We start from the raw sequence: 15,621 nt of genomic DNA, 5'->3' as shown, positions 1-15,621 counted from the left end.
AGGCCAAGAACTGGTACTGGTCCACAGGTTCATGGCTTGTTAGGAACGGGGTCCTACAGCAGGAGCTGAGCGGCGGGCAAGTGAGCATTACCACCTGAGCTCCACCTCCTGTCATATCAGCAGTGGCATTAGCTTCTCATAGGAGTGAAAACCCTATTGTGAACTGTGTATGCAAGGGATTTACAGTGTGCGTTCCTTATGAGACTCTAACGCCAGTTTCATCCCGAAACCATCTACCCCAGGCCATGGAAAAACCGTCTTCCACGAAACCAGTCCCTGGTGCCAAAAAGGTTGGGGCGTGCTGTTCTGGAGACTTTCAGCATTCTAATTAGATGTCACACTATTATGAACCGTAGAGTAATGGTACAAATATTTTACTGCATATGAACACTGGACAGTGTCACATAAGGGATGCCTTGATATTCTGTGCATCGTAAGTGTGGGCTTTCAAATGCTGTTATCTTGCTTTCAAATTGCAAGTTCCTATTAGGTTCATCATTTAGTTTGGGGATTTGTACTTGCATCAACAATATTTTAAACTATAATTTTCCAAAACACATTCATAAGGCATGTATGAATCCTATTGTTAAGTCATAACTTAATCCCTACTCCCAAATTAGCCTGTTAGATGGCACTGCATTCTTATCACAAGGCTCTTTATCCAGTGGGAGGAGAAAAGACCAGGAAAGTGCACCACCAAATACTAAAAGCCATAGTGACTTTCACAACTTCCACTCCACTCAACCTCAGCCAGCCACTCCCATGGCCATGCACACTGGGTCCTGTCCTTACCTGAGAAACCTTAAATGCTAATATCCCCACTCTGGCCACACCTTCTAGAGTTCCAGATCTCCCCCACATCTGCTCTTCAGCCTCTTGGAGCACAAACTGCTGTAACCTGTAGGTGGGAACCATCTGGGAACCTTTGAAACCTCCCACGCAAAGGTTGCACCCCATACCAATTAAATCAGAAAATCCTCGTGTAGGAGCCAGGTGCCAGTAGTCTCAAAAGATCCCTAGGTGATTTCAGGTGCAGCATGGTTTGGGAACCACTATCATGGGGCATTCAGGCCCTGGATTCCACAATTTCATCCCCATCAGCCCCTTCTTCCCCTTCCCTGCCTGTCCAACCACAGTCGGTCCTAGCAATCAGTCTTTCACAACCACCCTCCATTCCCTTTTATGTCTGCATTTCAAATACAAATTCAGTGAATCCTTACACTTGCTCTTAGACCCCTCCTTCCCTAATCTCTACCACTCTCATCAGGTCCCCTACTCAGGATCACTCCCTTCCTCCCCACAGACAATCTTAGCTCCAACTTCTGGGAGAAATGGGAAGGCTTTAGGAATGCTCTCTCCTCAATCCCCATCCACTATCCACAGAAACATATATCCATCCAGACACCCAGCCTGTGCTCTTTCTTTTTTTTTTTTTTTTTTTTTTTTCTTTTTTGAGACGGAGTCTCGCTCTGTCACCCAGGCTGGAGTGCAGTGGCGCGATCTCGGCTCACTGCAAGCTCCGCCTCCCGGGTTCACGCCATTCTCCTGCCTCAGCCTCCCGAGTAGCTGGGACTACAGGCGCCCGCCACTACGCCCAGCTAACTTTTTGTATTTTTAGTAGAGACGGGGTTTCACCATGGTCTCGATCTCCTGACCTCGTGATCCGTCCGCCTCGGCCTCCCAAAGTGCTGGGATTACAGGCGTGAGCCACCGCGCCCGGCCCCAGCCTCTGCTCTTTCCCTTCAGTTTCAGAAATAAGGTTTTCCTCCTCCACATCAAGGCCAACTGCCTTCCTTCCCTTTACCTTTGAAATCGCCCACTCTCTCATCCCCTGGAAACCTAGCTTCATCAATTATCAATTCCTCCCTATCCTGATCGAGAACGTTCCTCTCACTACTTGATCATCATCCTCAGCCCACAAATACTCTCAGCTGTCTTCAAAACTGCATCTCCCTCTAGCTACTCTCTTTCCTTCTCTTCTCATACACACATTTCAAAAGTATTATACATTTGTTACTATTTCTATTTCCACACTTTCCTTTCACTCCTTAACTCTCCACAGTGAACCTTCTCCTTCCAACATCCTGGGAAGACAGTTCTTAAAAAGAATACTAATGACTTCATTGACAAACACATTTCGATCCTTCTAATACCCAACATCTACTGCATTTGACACAAGTGATTACTCTCTACTCTGCCTGAAACTCTTGATTCCCTCTGTTTACAGGTTAGCCCATTCTCCTGGCTCTCCTCACATGCCTCACACCACTCCTTCTCTAAATCGTTTCCTTTTCCTCCTCCCTTAAGGTTAGTAAGCCCAGAGTCTAGCTCTGAATGATCTCCTCCACTTCCACAGTATTAAGAACCATCTTTTGGATGTCTCATCACCACAGCCCTGCCTCAAGTTTCACTCTCTTAAAGGTCTTGCAGACATCACAACATAGATGTCCCATAAGAACCTCATACTCACCATGAACAAAGCAACTCCTCATCATCCCGGACAAAACCTGCTTTTACATTCGATATCACACGTGATAGAGCTACTTTCTATTCTATCACCCAATCAGAAAACCTGTGAGCCAACCTTCCTTACCACCCATACCTAAGCAATCACGAAGTCTCACCGAATCTAACTCACAAATAGCTCTTGAATTTAAACTCTCCTCCCTATTACCTATTATCTGTTTTACATACTGGCTTTCATATATAATTCCTTTTGAGAGTAGGGTTACGAAGCTAATTTTTTTTAAAGTTTGAAAGCCACTGAGATAAAAGATAAAGCTTAAGCACCTTCACATGGTGCTTTAATGGACTCGCCTCATTTCCCACCACACCTGTCTCCCCGCACGTGGTATTTCCTGCTTCCCACTTTGCTTGGGCCACCTAGTTCTCCCAGAACACACTGCAACCCATCTGCTTCCATCATCTGAATATATCTACTCATCCTTGAATGTCACCTCCTCCAAGAAGCCAGTCCTAATCACCTCAAGCTGAGACAGGCTTCCGCAATACTTTCTGCATGTCTCAGCCAACCCCGCTACTTTATTCAATTGTATTTATCTGAGTGTATTTTCTGAAGGTAAATATGTCTTATTCATTTGGTTCCCCAGGACCTAACACAGTACCTAGTAGTCAATAAATGTTTAACTGAACTTGACTGATTCAATTATTTTCTAACAGAGGCTTTAAAAGTCAAGAAGTTTGAAAACTTCTATATGATCTCATAAAGAGCAGATTTTCAAACATATTAGAAGAGAATAAATTATTTCATCTCCCAAAATACTAAATTATTAGCATTTTGCCATAAATATGTATATTTTTATAAATTACTTCACAATACCTTTGAGTTCTCAAATAAGAGTTAAAGTATTATACACAAGGGCTAGAAAGATCTGGCTGCTGAAAAGTCATAGGGTTTAATCCACCTAGCACTCCCTATTCTCTCAGCTTTCTACTATTTGATTTATGATGTGAGATAGTAAAAGAAATTTCTCCTCAGCTGTGTCTAACCTACATTCCACAATAATCTATATTTCTTCTTAATATAGTGTATTTTTGTTAATGTATTTGCAAGGAAAAACAAAACTGCTCTGAATTTAAAACCATCAAAGAACAAGACTGCTTCCCCTTGGCTCAGAATATGATGAATTATATTTAGTATGAACTCTGAATCCCATTCATAAATCCATTGAACACCTATTATATGTAACACACAGGGTCAATAAGGCACTAGAACCACAGGATTTATTAGGCTTCAGGAAGAGTTGTTCTGTTGTATATGTCATTATTTGATGGTATTATGCAATCATCACAATAAATCCAGTCATGTCTAATTCAAGGATCCTTAAAAAGGGAAAAGAGCCAAAAATCCTGTAATCACCAGAAACTTAGCAAATATGAATTAAATATTTAGTTAGTTTTGAGAATTTAGTTTTGTTCCGTAATGTAATGGTTGAGATTGCATTCATAGTAACCTAAAACTCATTTCCTTCAAACTGGAGAAGAGTTGGTGGAAAGGTACCCTGAGTTGGAAATTTTCAAAGTATCCATCCCAAACTCTCTGAAATATACACACATGATGCACACATACATTTATACATAAAGGAGCACATGCACTCACAACCCACATATAGTGTAATTTTCTACGTGTGTGAGTCCTATGACAGTGGACTTTTATTTTAATGGAGAACTTGGAGCAGATGTCAGATTTGTAGGAGCAGGAAGGGCCGATTAAATACAAAAAGATCAATCATAAGGTATTATCTGGGGGAAAGATCATAAACTAGAAGAGTGGCAGAGGCAGAGAGAAGACTGCTTTCAGAAGGAGATAAAAATGACAAAAGATTATTTTGGATTGGTTTTCAAGAGAAGATGATTCGATAACATTTAGGATTTGTAATATAGATAATGGGACAAACAGTGATGACAGTTACTAGGACAGAAAAAGTATTGGCAAACTTTTTCTGTAAAGAGCCACATAGCAAATACTTTAAACTTTGAGGGCCACAAAGCTTTATGTCACATATTCTTAATAATATTTTTAAAATATAAAAAGCATTCATAGCTCAAGGGCCCTATTGACCTGTAGGCCACAGTTTGCACCACTAGGTAGTAGAAAATAATGAGAAATGGAATGTTCTATGGGACATGATTTTGAGTTCAATCTTAGACATGTTGGCTTTAAAGTACCTTGGATAAAGCAGAGATCAAGCAAGCAGTAGGACCATCACTGGGAATACAGAAAGCAACAGAGCTTTTGAAAGTCTTGTGGGGCTAAAGAGAAAATTGAATATTCAAGGGACCAAGATCCTAGAGAGAAGGGAGGGAAAGAAAACAGAAGCTGACACAGGGCCATTCATGTTAAATGCCAAATACTGAAGCTGTGTGGGGAGACTAAGAATGTCTCTAGAAAGCAAAATGGAGTTTTTGGCAGGGTTCTCATGCTAAGAAGATAAGAAGTAGGATTCAGGACTCAACAAGCAAAAGAACCCCGTTAAATATTCTGGGCTCTCTGTTGGAAGCCCTGGAAGGACTAGAGAAGTAGAAGCAGAATCACAGATAGGCAGAGATTTAAAATACTGCAACCTAGCCTTGACTCAGGTTAGTCCCTGATTATATTAAGTTGGTCAGCCTTTATTCTATCTGAACAGCAGAGAAAGGGTGAGCCCCCTCTAGAAGAGGATATCATTTGAACAAGCTACTTTTTTTACCTACAATGTCTGGTATTTAACAAAAAATTACTACACATGCCAAGAGATTACAGCATATAACTGAAATTAGAGGCAATTAAAAGAGAGTCACCAGTGATACAGATATTAGAGTTGGCAGATAAAGATTTTAAGAAAATTAGGATTAATATGTTCAAGAAAATATAGAAAATGATGGAAAAGAAGATAAAAAGATAAAGAATTTCAGCAGATAACTGAAATCAATTTTTAAAAAAGGATCAAGTAGGTAGCCTAGAAATAAAGACAGTAATAATAATTAAAAGTATAACTCAGTAAAGGAGTTTGTGGAAAAACAGCAGAAAACAGTACTATGGAACACAGAAAATATATACATTGAAACACAGAGGGAGACAAAGATTACAAAATAGAGAGAAGAACATGAAACCTACGAAAAACAATTTTTTAAAAACGGGCAAAGGAGGCAGTCTAATTTACATGTTATTGGAGTTTCTGAAAGAGAGGTAAGAAAATAGCATCTGAAAAGATAATGGCCTCAAGAATTTTCCTGCACTAGTGAAAGACACAAACCTACAGATTCAAAAAGCTCTGGCAACTCCAAGCAGTATAAATACAAAAAAAAAAAAAAATCACATCTAGGTATGTCATATTTAAACTGCTAAAAAACAAGGGAAAAATAGAAAACCTTAATAGCAATGGGGGGATCCAAAGGAATAACAATAAGAATGATAGCTTATTCCCCCCCCCAAAAAAAGATGGAAATGAGAAGATAATGAAATCTTTACAGTGCAAAAGACCACCAACCTAAAAATCTATAATCAGCAAACATATCCTTCAAAAACAGAGAACATTTTCAGACAATCAAAAACTGAGAAAATTCAATGCCAATAAACTTGTACTAAAAGAAATGAGTAGTTCTTTCGAGGAAGAAAATGATCTTAGATGAAAACATAAAAATGTAAAGTACAAAAAGAACAGAGTTTAAATATAAGAATATTAAATAATATTGACTGAACAAAACAATAATAATGTCTAGTGGAATTTAAAGTATATGTAAAGTTACAATGCATGGCAACTAAAATGTAAAAAGAAGGGGGGGCAAATGGAGTTGTAGTGTTCTAAGGCTCTAGCACCAGCAGAGAAATTCTAATAGGAATAATTTGTTTTAGACTGTAATAAGTCAAAGATGTACTTACAATCTCTAGGGCAAAAACTAAAAGAATACTAACAGAATCTATAGCTAACAAGTATAAGAAGGGGAAAGTAAAATTTAAATATATTTGCTGAATCTGAAAGAGGCCAAGAAAAAATAGAAATAAACATAAAAACAGTGAAATGGAACTCAAACGTTAAGATGGTAGATCTAAACACTACTATATCAGTTTTCAGAGAAAAACAGAGATAGAGTAGCAGGGATTAGCAGTGGCCATAATAGTCAAGAGAAGAGCAAAGAGATAAAAGGTTTATAAAGAAGCAATTTAGAAAAAAAAAATCCAGCAGTCTAGGAAACTTGGAAAGGAAGTAAATGTGGATAATATTTTATCAACAGATAAATCTAGAACGCATTATTATAACCAATGTTTGCACTGAGTTACCAAAAAAGAGTTAACATTCAATACATCTTAATTAAAAGATAGGAATCATAATGTTTCCTATTCAAAAAGTTAAACAACACATTTTGCAAAAAAAAAAAAAAAAAAAAAAAAAGGATTTTATGCTATCTAAATGATCTGGACATTTCAGAGAATCCACAAAGTCCATATTTTAATATGCCAAATCATGGAGGCGAAATTTCCTGATTGCTATTCTTAGCTTATAAGTGCCAGGATTCAGAAAGCAATCAAAATTATGAGTGTAACTATTATGATACCCAAACATTATTCTTTCAGAGTATCATCTCTGTTATCATGTGAGAGACTGAAAATAATTTGTTTGTTTGTTTTTGTTTGAGACAGGGTCTCGCTCTGTCACCCAGGCTATAGTCCTGTGGCATGATCTCAGCTCAATGCAGCCTCAACCTCCTGGGCTCAAGCAATCCTCCCACCCCAGCCCCTAGAGCAGCTGGGACCACAGGTGTGTGCCACTAAGCCTGGCTAATTTTTGTAGAGGCAGGGTTTCACCATTGCCCAGGCTGGTCTCCAACTCCTGATTCAAACGATCCGCCTACCTCGGCCTCCCAATGTGCTAGGATTACAGGCATGAGCCACCGTGCCTGGCCAAGTTTTAAATATCTCTATATCATATAATCACCAAAGCTAATAAGAAGCATGTTAGAAGATCATGATTATTTTATTACTGGACTAATATTACTTCTAGTATCTCTCCAGAATGGAAGGGGACAAACGTTTCCTTTATTTGACTGAGAAAATGTATTTCCCCTCTTACAGTCACAGGCATTTACTCCTTTGTTTTCTTAAGACTGGACAGCTTAGCTAAGGCTCCTTTATTTATTAGGGACTAGACAACAATTGGCGTAATTTAAAATTTTGTCCCAATAACCACAGAGGACAAACAAAACTTACATACTTATGAATATATAATAATATATTATCAACATACTCATATTTTCTATTAAAATATTCATTAAAGTTTTGGGACAGAATGTTAAACAAATTTAATTGATTCTTCAAAGGTCATACATATCATAAGAATTCTTCTAAGGACAAAAACAGTTCACTAAACAAGGCCTGGTATCCCGTACACAATGTCATTTGGCTTGTCCCTGTCTGTACCTTACAGTGCCCTTTTCACAGTGAATCATAAAGTCTATTCAATCAGTACAAATTTTTTTAGAGTGAATTTTGCAAGCAAAGAACACAGACTATGTTCTTAGTAGGTTATATTTGACTTCTAAATTCCATTCTCTTGCCTCGTTACACAGAATACAAAGCTACTGACCTTTGCAAATATAGCACATTCATTTTTTTTCAGACTTTTGACTAATTAGACAACATGAGAGAAATGTAAGGTAAAAGATAAATCATCCTGGTCATTTTTCCACTTCCTCAACCTCATCATTTTCCCCTATAAATAAGGTGATTCTGATTGGCACAACAATGCTCAAGATGTAAAGCTGCAGAACAGAAAATTACACACAGTAGGATGAAGAAATTAATTTCACGGCAGTAATGGTTTTCTAGCTTCACTAATAAAATCCCTTTAGCCCAAGATCTCTTTACGAAGAACCATGTATGTAGCAAATGCTTTATGAGAAAAACATGTCAGAAACATCACCGGATATGCTCAGCCCATCTTCTAAATATATGCATGTATGCATTCGCCAAATATCATCATGTGCAATCTATAAATGACTGGTTATCTATATTTTACAAATCTTCTAACTCCTAATCCACTGAACTGCTTATGCTGGGTGGTGTTGGGATTTAAAAAAAGAAAAAAGAGAAAAAAAGATGGCTCTACCTCCAAAGAATTATAAGCATCTCTTCCTTCCTTTTAACAGAAATCACAGCCTACTTTCATTCTCTTCCACTGAAAATGACTTGGTACATTCATCTTCCTCTCTTTAATCATTACCAATTACAAAGAAACAATTTCTAGTAAGGGTAAACTCTCCAGCTCTGTTCTTAACACCATGTCCTCCTGCATTGTCCCACCTGTTATCCTCCCACCAACATAAATGCTCAGTGATCTCCTAAACAGAGCATAAACCCAGATCTTAAATCCCTAGACACTGAAGCTACTACCCTCCTCTTTTTCCATCAAAAGCTAATTTCTTCCACACTCTTTACCTCCACTTCTTATACTCAGCTCACTGTACCCTGATTTCTGACCAAACCAACTCTACCAAAACAGCTCTCTTAATAATCACCAATGGCTTTCCTAATTACTAAACCTACACACCCCAATTCTTAATGTTATTTCATTTCTCTGACAAACTGTAGACCTTTTACTTTTGTTTTCAACGGTATGTGTGATCTAGAATCCGTCTGTATGATTTCTCTTTCTCTGCTTCTCACTGGCTCATCTTCATCTCCCTGATATCTAAACAGGCATTCTGTCTTCAAATTTCTTCCATTTCCATACTCTGTCTCTCAATAATATCATACGAAGATGTGGCTTAAAAAGAATTTCTTAAAGGAAAACTTTACAAACAACTCTCAATTTCTATCTTGTAATTCTATACCAAGATTTTGCAATGCATTACCAGTTGTCAAAATGTACTAAGTATAATTCATTCATTTTTCTCATTCATTAATCCATTCAACAAATAGTCATATTTTTAAAAAGAGTCAGTTGGCTAGAACTGGAATAATCAAGGATTGAAGAATAAAATTAAATGAGGGAAGCACATGTCTGATCACATAGAGTTTCAGAGGCAACTCTGAATTTTGAATTTTGTTTTAAAGTTTGTTTTAAAGATGACAGGACACCACTGGAGTTTACCTGCCCAAGGTCACCCACGGCTAGCAAGTTATAGAAACATAATTTGAATACAGACATGCCTGTCACCAGAACCCAGGCTCTTAACCACTCTTTTGAACTGCTTTTATAAAAATAAAGCAAAAGCCATTCCACCAGAGAACTGTACTTACGATCGTGATATTAACAATGCTATCTTCTGATGTAGTTGATATTAACAATGCTATCTTCTGATGTAGGGGTCGGCAAACTATGACCCATGGGCCAAATCCAACTCACCACCTGCTTCTGTAAATAGTTTTATTGGAAAGCAGTCATGCTCATTTGTTCACATATTGTCTATGCCTGCTTTCACACTATAAAGCAAAGTTAAGTCACTGTGAAAGAGGCAGTCCACAAAGCCTAAAATATTTACTATCTAGCCCTTTATAGAAAGAGTTTGTCAATCTTTGTTCCATCCAACTGTCTTTAGGTGCATCAGTTGCTAATTGGGGACAATAAGAACTACCTCACCTATTTGCAGTGACAATTCAGGAAAAGAGCATATCTGAAAAAAATCAAATGACAGCAGGCACCCAAAAATGTGAACTGCAGTCTAAGTCAGGCTCTACACTCCAGCATCTATTTAGGAAAAAAATAATACCATCTCCATTTTATCTCACCATCATGTCACTTATTTCTCAAAGGTATTTTGCTGACTTGCACACACCCCAACTCCTAACACTACCAATAAGATGCACGTCTCCTATTACAATCATCCTCAAAGCCTATTCCATGGCCTGTACATTCTTGTTAATAGCACTGCCATTCTCCCCTCAGCCGGGTTTTGGTTTCTGAAATAATCTTGAACATCAAACTCTTCAAGACCAGAGTGAAGTCCTATTTATTCAACTTATGCAACAGCTTCCTAACCATCCCCTTTTCCACATTTCCAGGGCCTAATCCTATTTCCAGTCCCCATGACCTCTCACTTTATCATTCCAGTAACCTCACAATTCATTTCCCAAATCAATATTTGTAAGTGTCTTACATTAAAATGTTAGATATGACAAAATATTTCTTAAGCAATCAAAAGTATCCTTTTAAAAGTATTCAGCATCATGTCAGCACCCATTAAATTACATCCTCAGCTTTGCATTCAAGTTCTTCTATGACACAATTCTAATTGACACCTCAAACTAACTTCCTACTAAATTGCTTGAGCAATTATCATTTTTCACTAGTATGTACCATACTCTATGTGTAGTTATACTACAATGCAATATAGTTATACTACATTGAGTATTGGAAATAAAAAGATGAAAAACTGAACTGCTGTCCTGAAGAAGTTTAAAATCTAGTAGGGAAGACAAATATAAAGAACAAAAAATACCCCATACAAAGGGAAAAGTGTTTTGGGAAACGTATGAACAAAAAAAATGTGAGCATAAAAAGAATGTAAGAACTAACTCTGCCAAAATGGGTGGAGGGGCTAAGGGTTGGTAATGGCTTCACTGTCCTGAGGAAGAGTGAGATTAAAAAACAAGGGTAGGGAAGGGAAAAGAGGGATAGGATAGAGGATGCAGGATTCCTGCTATTTCAAGCTTTTTTTTTTTTTTTTTCAAAAGCAGTGGTTTTAAACCGGGGGCAATTTTTGCCTCTTAAGGGAAATTTGACAACGTCTAAAGACATCTGATTGTCACAACTGGAAAGAGGAGGCTACTACCAGCATGATGTGATGTAGGTAGAAGACAGAAATGATGCTCAGCATCCTACTATATAGACTCCAGTCCTCCAACAAGAAAGAATTACCCATCCCAAAATGTCAATCTGTCACAAATGAGTTATCATGGTCTACAGTCAAAAGGAACGGGAATAAAGGAAAGGATAAAGCTGAGATAAGTCCAGGATGGGTTAGAACACTGATAATACAGAGAAGGCAAGGAAGGAGAATGAGTTATATCTACACAACTTCACTCACCAAAACCAAAGGAAGAATGCAAAACTGAGCAAAACTTCCTTTTGCAAAGGAAGAATGCAAGTTACTAATGAATGCTCCACATCTAAAGGTTCATGAACACAGCCTTGAGGCTGCAATGCAGGGGTCTTAAGACAATCAGTTATGAGGGAATGGCAAAGACAAGGGCAAAACAGCGAAAGAAAAGGCTCTCTGCACTTTCTGTTCCACATCATCCAATTCAACACATAGTTATTGCACAGCAGCTGCTGCTAGATGTCATGGAAAAGCACAGAGATAAATAAGTCAAAAATCCCTGCTCTCAAAAAGACTGAATTTCAGTAGGGAGAATTAGATAAATATATAAGTTATCATAATATAAAGAAAAAAATACATGTCATAAGAGAAATGCAAAGGGTTTCAAATATACACAATCTTACAAAAGACTCCTTCACAGTAATAAAGTATTTTACTTAATACCCTCTTGATCTTCTACTGTGAGAAAAAAATCACAGGATAGTAAATTCTCCATCTTTGTGAAGTTTTCAATGTCCAGTATAATTAACATAATTAGCAAAATAAAATATCTGTTACTTCCATATAGCCCTGATTGCTAACACTATGTTACCAAGACAAAAAGCAGCACTTTCTATAGAGTATCCCAATACAGGCTTTGCTTTCCATTGAAAGACTCATGTAAAAAATTAGATCCAATATCCTAGAGTAAGTCCTGTACCATTGAGAAGCTCTTAGTTGTTTGTTTTTTACTTTGGGTGGGTTTATTTCTCCTGAGGTTAGAAAGCTATCCAGAGGACAGCTCTTTAAATATTCTCTTCAGAAGGAACCTCAAACTCAACATGAGAAAATAGTTAGAGAAATCCCTAATGGTCCAGCCAACATACATTTTTTATAAAGTGATTATCCTCCTGCAGCTTCAGCTTCCTAAGCCTTTTTCCTCCCTTCTATAATTGTTTTCCTTGTAGGCCAGGCAACAATTACCACTGCTACAAGACTAAGGAGGTTCACAAGCAATATATTTTACAATACATAAGTGTAGTGTCTCTGATATCTGGTGCTTTTATCACTAATTGCGCTATAAAATACGCTATTAAAACAGGGACAAACAAGATTGTAAAAATCACATAATGGACCACGACCACTTACAAAAGCCATTCATAACTGTTACTGTACCACTTATTTTTCTTTAATTTTCAAGTTATATAATTATTTTTCCAAATTTTTACTTCTAGGGGATACCATCAAGAAAAAGAATATATCTGGGAGTTACACCACATGCATGCATGCTCTTAAACATATTGTTTTATAAATTTGCTCAAAATCAAATTACATATCATGTCAGAAAATGTGCTATGAACACTGAATTCCTAGAGACAGCTACAAGATTCCTTGGAAGTAACTGAAGGTATGGCCAATGCTTTCAGCTGTGATTTCTTCACAAACTTTAGGGTTTGCTACTGAAAGCACAGAGGAAAAATGTAGAATGATTTCACAGTTCCAGTTGTTGAAATATACAATACAACATAGCTGATAAAACATTTATATCTTGAGGGAAGAAATAATGATCAAAGGGTGACATTACTGCGAACTACTGGAGGATGTGGGTCAGTGGAACTGCCTACAGTATTTCATGTATCATCAGCACGCACGAACTCATGGTTAATTTTCAAGTCTGCAGATGAGCCTTTCAACCCCTTTACTATTTATTCACATGTCTAACCATTTAAAAAAATGAAAATCAAGGAGAGACTAAAATTAAAAGTATTTGTGCCTATTCATTAATAACTCTAATGAATATTTAGATGGAACTAGAATTTTAAGTAGTGATTGAGATGAAATATTGAGATTGTCTCTAGGTTTGATTTATCCATTACTAGAGACAAACTAGTGCTAATTATACCACATGACACAAATACCACAGACCAAACAGTGGCTAGACTCTACAAAACTAAAGATAAGTAACCAATTCATGAATTGGGATTGGTTTTTTTAATAGGATCATCTTCTGTTAACTGAAGAAGTAACTTATACTTTATTAAGTGTCAGTAAGGAAAGTGTGTTTGAGCTTGGGTCTCAGAAAAATTTCAGTACTTCTGCAACACCATCATACGTATTCTGAAACATTTTCTTAAATCTTTACAATCGCTTAACCTTACTAAAATCAGAACCTAATTTTAAAACAAATGATACATCACAATTACAGACATCTTAATTGTACCTAAATTACTTTTTTCCCTCCTTAGGACATTAGCTAGTGCTCAATCTTTCAACAGAAAGACTACCAAAAAGTAAGACAGATTATATACAGTTGGTTTGCCCTAATTTCAGAAACTAAAGTCACTTAATTCAGTCGGAAGAATTTAAAAATATTTGAATGGTAAGAATAATATACTTTTCCAAAATGCCAAGTACTTGAAAAACTCAAACCATGTTGGATAAACCTAAATGAAAATCAAAAGTTTATTTTTCAAGGGTCATTTCTCAAAAATTATTTTCTAAGATATGCCAAAGCCATGTTACTAAATGAAGTTAAATGGGGTCTACACACTTCATGGGCCCACATATAAAACTTACCTTGTCAGATGCCTCAGAAGCCAAGAGGTTAGTTGCAAGGGTTTGTAGCTTATGATGGGCCATATTTTTAAGAGCAGCAAGACTACGTCTCGTCATAGCTTGTTTTAGGTTGACTGCTGGATGACTAAGTGAATCAACAGCAGCAGGAACAGCTTCATCACAAGCGTTTAGAATCTCAACTGCTGTTATCCCCATCACACAACGATCCAATGCACCTGCGAGAAAAATATATTCACAAATATTTCATAACACTACAACATTTTGAATAGTTTAAGTAAAGAAAAAATGGTATGAAAATTTTTTAAGTAGAAACATGTTTTATCAATGCCTCCTGGAAATTTTTTTTTGTACTTCCTTCCTCTAACAATCTTCCATGTAGTACCTACCACCTCAATGAATTCCTCTCCCACAAAGTCCCTGATGCAACTTCCCAATAAAGTCAAGTTCAGAGCTAAGATTCCAACAACCTTCTCCAGGCTTTTCCACTCTTTCTACCTCCCAGATGGTTTTCTTGACTACTCCTGTCCCATCGCACCATTACAAACATTAAAATCTATGATTTGACCTTCCTCTAAGTTGTATATCAATCTTAAACGAAAAAAGTCTTACTAAAATTTGTTTTTTTCCTCATTGAATAATTGCTGAAGCTTCTCTAAGAAACTTCCACAAAACAGAAAAAATATTATAATTTCTACATTTTGTCTGCAAATTCTTGACTCTTACTCTCACCATCCAGCCAAATGTTTCTTCGTATGTTTGTGGAAATTACCACTACTTCTACTTACAACTACTTTACTTATTTATTTATTTATTTTTTATTTTTTATTTTTTTGAGACAGAATCTCGCTCTGTCGCCCAGGCTGGAGTGCAATGGCGCGATCTTGGCTCACTACAAGTTCCGCCTCCTGGGTTCACATCATTCTCCTGTCTCAGCCTCCCGAGTAGCTGGGACCACAGGTGCCCGCCATCACGCCCGGCTAATTTTTTGTATTTTTAGTAGAGACAGGGTTTCACCGTGTTAGCCAGGATGGTCTCGATCTCCTGACCTCGTGATCCGCCCGCCTCGGCCTCCCAAAGTGCTGGGATTACAGGCATGAGCCACCACGCCCGGCCTACAACTACTTTAACGCTTCTTTATTTGGCTATCCTTTCTGTTTATCTCCATCTATGCATTTCTTGTCTAAGTCACAGCAAAAACTTCCTCCAATGTGAGCTTCACCACCTCCTTCACCCACCTTTCAAGCTCTTAATGTTACATTTTCAATGAGTTATTCTCTGGCCATCTTATCAAATTCTCCCTTTTCTGCTTTATTTTCTCCATAACACGAACACCAGAGAACATACTATGTGTTTAAAGTTTTTGTTATTTTTGACCTGCCTCTCTCCACCCAGAATGTAAACTGCACAAAAGCTAGAGAGTTTCAGATGTTTTGTTCACTGTTGTATCCCTGGTACACTGAACAGTGCCCAGCACATTGGAGGCACAGAGTAACTATTTGTTGATTAAATAGAGATAGAGTTAGCAGC

The 15,621-nt window shown here is 37.4% G+C and overlaps 1 protein-coding gene across 13 annotated transcripts in view; it reads right to left on the bottom strand.

Annotated features, from left to right (window-relative positions):
- The window catches only part of WDR7 (WD repeat domain 7), a 385,248-nt gene that overhangs the window by 290,915 nt on the left and 78,712 nt on the right, over positions 1–15,621 (bottom strand). For all 13 annotated transcript variants that reach the window (XR_007066131.1, XR_007066132.1, XR_007066133.1 and 10 more), the window contains one exon: positions 14,095–14,309. Coding sequence is in view for 9 of the 13 variants with exons in the window: in NM_015285.3 (NP_056100.2) it covers positions 14,095–14,309 (215 nt within the window). In the remaining 4 variants the exon portion in view is untranslated. The remainder of the gene's footprint in view (positions 1–14,094; positions 14,310–15,621) is intronic.

This window comes from Homo sapiens, chromosome 18 (genome assembly GCF_000001405.40).
Source record: "Homo sapiens chromosome 18, GRCh38.p14 Primary Assembly".
NCBI lineage: Eukaryota > Metazoa > Chordata > Mammalia > Primates > Hominidae > Homo > Homo sapiens.
This window is presented reverse-complemented; position numbering and strand designations above follow the sequence as displayed.